This window comes from Homo sapiens, chromosome 10 (genome assembly GCF_000001405.40).
Source record: "Homo sapiens chromosome 10, GRCh38.p14 Primary Assembly".
Taxonomy (NCBI): domain Eukaryota; kingdom Metazoa; phylum Chordata; class Mammalia; order Primates; family Hominidae; genus Homo; species Homo sapiens.
The window spans coordinates 60,802,311-60,809,062 of record NC_000010.11 but is presented as its reverse complement, the minus strand read 5'-3'; positions in this window follow the sequence as shown (position 1 = coordinate 60,809,062).

The window sequence follows — 6,752 nt, the reverse complement described above, 5'->3', positions numbered from 1 at the left end:
TGTACAGTCTTTTGGCTTTCCTGGGCCACAGTGGAAGAATTGTCTTTATGTCTACACATAAAATACACTAACACTAACAACAGCTGATGAGCTAAAAATAATAATAAAAATCCCACAAAAACCTCATAATGTTTTAAGGAAGTTTACAAATTTGTGTTGGATTACATTCAAAGCGATCCTGGGCCACAGGTTGGACAAGCTTGCTTTAGATGAAAGTGAAAAATAATATTCAGTCCAGACATCAACAGTTGCACAGCAGAAAGGATTCCTGGGCAAGAAAGCAGGTAAAGAATATTCAATGAACAGATTAGGTTAATGAGAAGAACTTACACTTGTCAGTGAAGTTGGTAGAATGCTCTCTGGAATTGACAAATGGGGGACTCTATTGGACATTTTAAGCCAAATGTAAATGTCTGGCAGTATAAGAGAGGGGAACTCAGGACCCCGACTGATGCTCCTCCAACTCCAGCTAGAAGAGGAACAGGGCTACAGGAAGCAGTGATGATGTCTGGCATTTGGGAAAATGGCTGGGAAGTAACTGTGGAGAAGAGCTCCAACAACAAAATAAAAATAAAATGGATTCTCCAAGTAATAAGAAAAGAAAGTAAGTTCTTAAAACTCTGGATCCTGACGGAAAGGGCATATCCAGGTAAGAAGAAATCTATCCTTCGTCTATGTCAGAGAGAAGATTTGGCACAGTCTACAGAACTTTACCATGTTGTATTCAAACTTCACCATTCTAGAAACCTTATTTAATTATCTCCTCAGCCATCAGGCCAAATCTGAACTCACTGACTTTGGAAAGCTTCCCAAATGAGCTTTTCAGCAGAGTTTTATATGCTGTTTGGAAAGAAGAGGCAGTGTAGCTGTGGCTTTGGAGCAGTAAACTCCAAATTCTTGAGTGCCCGCCTCCTCAATAAAATGCTATTGAGCACACAGCACAATATATGTATATTCATTTATTCATAAAGCATATGTATATGCTACTGTACTAACTTACTACACATGATACAAAACATCTTCCCAATAATAGAAATATTAAAAGGATACATTAAAAGAAAGATTAAAGAAGACACAATATTTTCTTCGTGTACCTTATGTGGATTGTCTTTTGCACCTCATGTTCGACACCATGACCTTAAATCCTGGTCCCAGAACAGAGACTTTGTCTTTAAAAGAGTGATTGTCGTTTCAAAAAGAGATGAAAAACTCTTGGCTTATGTGACACTGAAGTGATGCTTTTATAGAGTTGTCCCTCAGTGTCTAGGTTGAAAGTGTGGCTTGCATATTATCTACTAATGCTGTATTTGAAGTCTGTTGCCTGAGTAACCAGAAGAATGACATGGAAATAGAGATCCTTAAGAAGATAAGCCATGCTTTACTTGTCTTGCCTCCCTCTAGGGCTAGCACAGTGCCCTAGGGGACATACTGGGTCCTCAGGGATGCCTGTTTAAATCAAACATGAAGGAATGAATGATTGAATATGTGAAAAACATTTTTAAGCCACAGGAAAAACACAATTAAGATGCAACTCTCACCTGTCAGTGAAAAGTCTCCATCGCAGGTAGAATGCACAGCTTCTGCCTTGCCTGCAATTTAGAACTCCTGGGACCAGAACTCAGCCAAATTCCTCCCCATATCTTATCAGGAGCTCTCCTTCAAAGGCCTTCAGGGTCTGGGCAGGTATCATATATGCTTAAAGATCAAGAAAGGCAACAGGGAGAAGCAGTGCAAATTGGCAAAATGGAGAGTGCTTAGGGACTGATGAGGACGGGCATCTTCTCCTCCATTAGGCTAAGTATTTTTATCTGGGTGTCTAATGGTTTTGAGACTTGTCTCATCAACTACATTGTAAGCTTAAAGAGGCCTAGGAATGTAGGGCATTTCTCCTTTCTTCTGTTCCCAGCGTGGTCTAGTGGAATGAAAATTAGACTTGGAGTCCAAACCACCAACTCCTCAAGGCACTTAACACCTCTCTTACCCTCAGTCTCTTCATCCAACCGATGAGAATAGTACTACCTCCCTCAAAGGAATGTTGAGAAAAGCAAATGACTTTTGTAAACTATGGTATTATATATCAATGTAAACAATTACTATTACAATCGTAATGAATACATACTTGTTGAAGTACATTGCACTGAATAGAGGGGTGATGAAATTCCTTATACTATGCACATAATCAACATGTATCTCTATTTAAGACTCCTTTTAAAAATAAAATAAGGCCGGGCACAGTGGCTCCTGTTTGTAATCTTAGAACTTTGGGCGGCTGAGGTGAGATGATCACTTAAGCCCAGGAGTTCGAGACCAGCCTTGGCAACAAAGTGAGACCACCATCTCTTCAAAAAATTTTTAAATTAGCCGGGCATGGTGGTGCACACCAGTAGTCCCAACTACTTAGGAAGCTGAGGCAGGAAGGATAGCTTGAGCCCAGGAGATGGAGGCTGCAGTGAGCCATCACGGCACTCCAGCCTGAGCCTGACCCTGTCTCAAAAAAAAAAAAATAAAATAAAATAAAATAAAGAGGATATATAGATAAAAATAAAATATAGAGAGAGCAAGTTAATACACATCGACAAACACATCTCATTGCTGTCACCCATGAACTTGGAAATTTTGAACATTTGTGATTTCATGGTAAATTAATGCTTCTCCACTTTACAGTTTAAAGTAAATGTTACTTTTGTTTGTGTTTTATTGGGACATTCAAGATATCTATTATACAGTACCAGAGTCCTAAACACAATAACAGTCATCATTACATATTTCTGAGTAGTAGGATTACTCTTTTTTGTGGTTTCTCTTTTCTTCAAATTTTCTTTACCAAACACATATAAACTTTTCCGATTCTGAAATAATAAAAACAAAGACACCCCAGACTTACTTGTCTTGCACTGGTGACTAACCACAGACTCTTAAAAGAAAACTTGAAAATTGTCATAGGAGATAAGGAAAAATTATCCAAATGATAGTCAATTCACAGGAAATATCTAATTAAAAATTAAAACCTGAGTTTAAAAACTATCAATTAAACATCACTTAAATCTGTAGTTTTTTTAAAAACTGCCTGTATGTTATTTTTGTATAAAAATTGGGAAGTATAACAAGATATATTCAAATTTGCTTGAGTTTGTATAAAGAAAATGTTAAGGAGCTGGAGAGGGGAGTGAGAGGTGAGAACCCAGCTGATGAGAAGAATTAAGAATTTGTGTTCTTTTTGTTATATTCTTTGAATTTTAAAAATAGCATATGCAAGTATAACTGTTCTAAAATACACGTTACACAAGCTCCTGACCTTTGCTCTGGGGAGTCAGTCCTCGCAGTGGGTTTATACTCGAGGCTGCCATTGCCAGTGGAGAGACGAACGTCCAAGCCTATGCAGCCAGGGAAGCATCAGGCAGGTCCTAAGCTCATTCTTCAGCCTGCTGAGGAGTCATGCTCAGCTCTCTAGGCTTCCCATGGCAGCACTAGGCTCTGGCCATACAGTGTCGGTGTATTCTCTGCTCCAACTCAGCATGGCTCTTGGCTGCCAGTTGGCCACATTGCATGGAGCTGGTTACGTTTCAGGGACTTGCCCTATCCAATAAACTTTCCAAACCAGGCTCGGTAAAAATGGAGAGAAACAAGTTCCCATTATAGGCTTGAGTTCAGCTGAACCTGGAGTACAGTTAGGCTAGAAAAGCCTGGAAGTTGCCCCTAGTGAAGCCACACCTCCTCTAGTCTCCTGGCTGGGATCTGCAGCAAATAGAGCCTGATGTTTCTTGAGTCCAGCCATCTGTGTTCCTTGGCTAGCCAGCTATGAACCACTTCTCTGCACATGCCCTGTCCAGGGGATTGGGTTGCAGAAGACTTGTCAACACAGATAAGACACGCCTGGTTTACAGGTTAGCTCATGATTGGAGGGTCCTGTCTCATCAGCAATCTTCTGCACCACTCAGGGAAACATTAAAAGTATTTGAGAACCACACTAAAATTAGAAACTTCTGTCTGTGAAAAGATATCACTGAAAAATGGCAAGACAAGACCAAGAATGGGAGAAGATATTTGCCACACATATAACAAAAGATTTGCTTGTAGATATAAGTGACTCCTGTAAGTCAGTAAGAACCAAACAATCAAAATATGGGCAAACATGCAATTGACCAAAGGGAAAACCTGAATGGTCAATAATATATAAAGGAAATGAAATGAAAACTTCAGTGAAATATTGCTTCAGGCCAGTCAGATTAGTAAAACCTAAAAAGTGTGGTAATACCTAATATTGGTGAAGATTATAACAACGAGAACTCTTACACACTGCAGGCAGAGGTCTAAATCAGCATGTGTGGAGAGTCATTTGGAGTTGAAGATGTATACAACCATACCTACAACCATGAAAACAAAAAATCATTCCAAGTATTGAAACAGAAGGGGTTTAATCCACAGAATAGGTTATCTGGGAATTGAAAGAGTTAAGTCAAAGAGTAGTCAGCGAGGCAACCAGGAGTGAGCAACTTCAGGAAACCTCTGGCACCCCAGTCTAAGACAAAAGGGTAGCCCCACCAGGAGTTAACTGGCTTTTCTGAGAGAAGGATAGAACTGGGGTGGGTCTGTCCAGTGGGTGCTAGATGTGCAGAATGAGGCCATCTGAGACTGGCAGATACGGAGCCAAGCACTCTGGCTTCTCTCTCCCCTCTCCCACCAGTGCCTAAACTGAAAAACAAGCCGGGTAGATACAGGGGCCTGGGAAATGCAACCCATGTGGGTCTGGTCCCGAGATACAGAGCAGAGCAGCATAAGGGCAAGGAGTTGATCTGCAAAGGAAACAAACACAACCTTGCCCAAGAAAATGGAGACATATACACTAGAACTTATAGCCTCATTGTTCTTAAAAGCAAAACATGAGAAACAAGTGTCTATCGACAGAATAGATCAATGAATTGTGGTAGAGTCACACAGTGAAATACCCTAGAGCAGTGAAAGCAAATGAACTATAGCTACATTTATCAACATGGAGAACTCTCACAAAGCAGAGCCAGACAAATAAATTTCAAAATGTGTAGTGTAATACCCTTTATATGCAATATGATGATGACAGATAGCTAGATAGATTGTAAAAGCTGAAAAAGAATAAAGAAATCAATCTTTATTTTAAGGGCAAAAGGGGCATGTAATCAGGGAGAGAGACATTGAGGGTTTCAAATGTAATAATAATGAAACTGAGTGATGGATACATGAGGTCACTGTATAGTTATTGATAATGTTGCATTTAAAATATTTCATAATACATTAAATTTTAATTTTACAAAGGAGCTTGGAGGAGTATGAGTGATGCGGGCCTGGCTGCTCTAAATGGTAGGAAGAGACTCTATTATCTTTGTTTTGGAGGCAGGACTTGATGCAATTGCCAAGGGCATACTGGCCCAAGACTTCCCCTTTCCAACTCTCTCTCCCTCTTGGCCCCAACATGGTTAGGCAATTAACCCCTGCCCCCATCACCTCTAGGCGAGCAGTGGCATTCTACCACAGTGGCATTCTCCTGACAGTCCTGTAGATCGTTTGGGTAGGCTTTACACCCCAGGCGAGTCTGAGCGTAAATGAGACTTCAAACAGGCATGTTTCAGAGCTCCTCAAGAGGTCCCTTTGAAGCCCTCTCCATTGAGCATGTGTTAGATGGCAGCATTCTAAAAGCATGTAACAGCTTCCAAAAATCACCCTCCCCCAAATCTCCCTTCTTCACTCTATGCCCTTTTCATTTTCTTTCTTTGGCTGAAGGATCCAAGCAGGGTGACACTTCATGGATGTCTGACCTGTGCAGTCACACAGGGCACTTAGAAGGGCCCTATGCTTGGTTTAATGCTCAGCTGTTGCTATCTGGAATTTAATAGTTTTTTAACAAGAGGCCCTGCACTTTCATTTTGCACTGGGCCCCACAAATTATGTAGCTTATCCTGAACCTACAAGTAGTGGGACAGGTTCTTAGAGCCATTTCCTTATAAATATGTATATCAGATATGGAATTCTGGAAATTACCTTATTGTCTTTAGTCAAAACTGAGGCAGGAAGAGTTCCATTCTAAGATCCTGTTACATGTATTCACTTGCATATAATCTCTCATGAATGGAGGTAAAGAAGTATAAACCTATTAAGTTCAAAACTATTAATATGTCCTCATGTCCTAGCACAGTATCTGACTCATAATAGGTGCTCAATATTCATTGGATGAACAAACATTTATAGAACCATTAAATTTCTGCTTGTCTTAGAATTGTTTTCTATTAACACTCCTTACATGAATATCATATACCAGATTTTATAGAGAGAATATATTCTTGAAAAACTTGCACAATTCAACACAAATTTTTCCACAGTAAAGTATTAAGTAGGGAGACACTTCCTTGAAATCTGTAACTATTGTATATGTGTATTTTAATGCAGCTTTTTATTTTTCTCAAGATCATCACTGTTGTATACTGTTGTATGAATTGCTCACTGTAAAATGTACTATGGAAGTTGTTTGGCCTTCTTTGTGACATTAAAATAACATCTCAAGTTCTTCAAAATTTCCTAATTCTCAGGCCCACTATGTCACCCGCACTTAATGAGTGCTCAGGTGAGATTGCTTTAGAATATAAAAGTATTTCAAATTATAGTAAATGTTAAAACAAGTAGAAAGGTATCACCACAGGTACTTGCAGGAGCTGTGATCCAAGGACACTGCAGGCTGATGCATGCAACCCTGAAAAAGGGCTGCAGGAATTTCTCTTTACTGG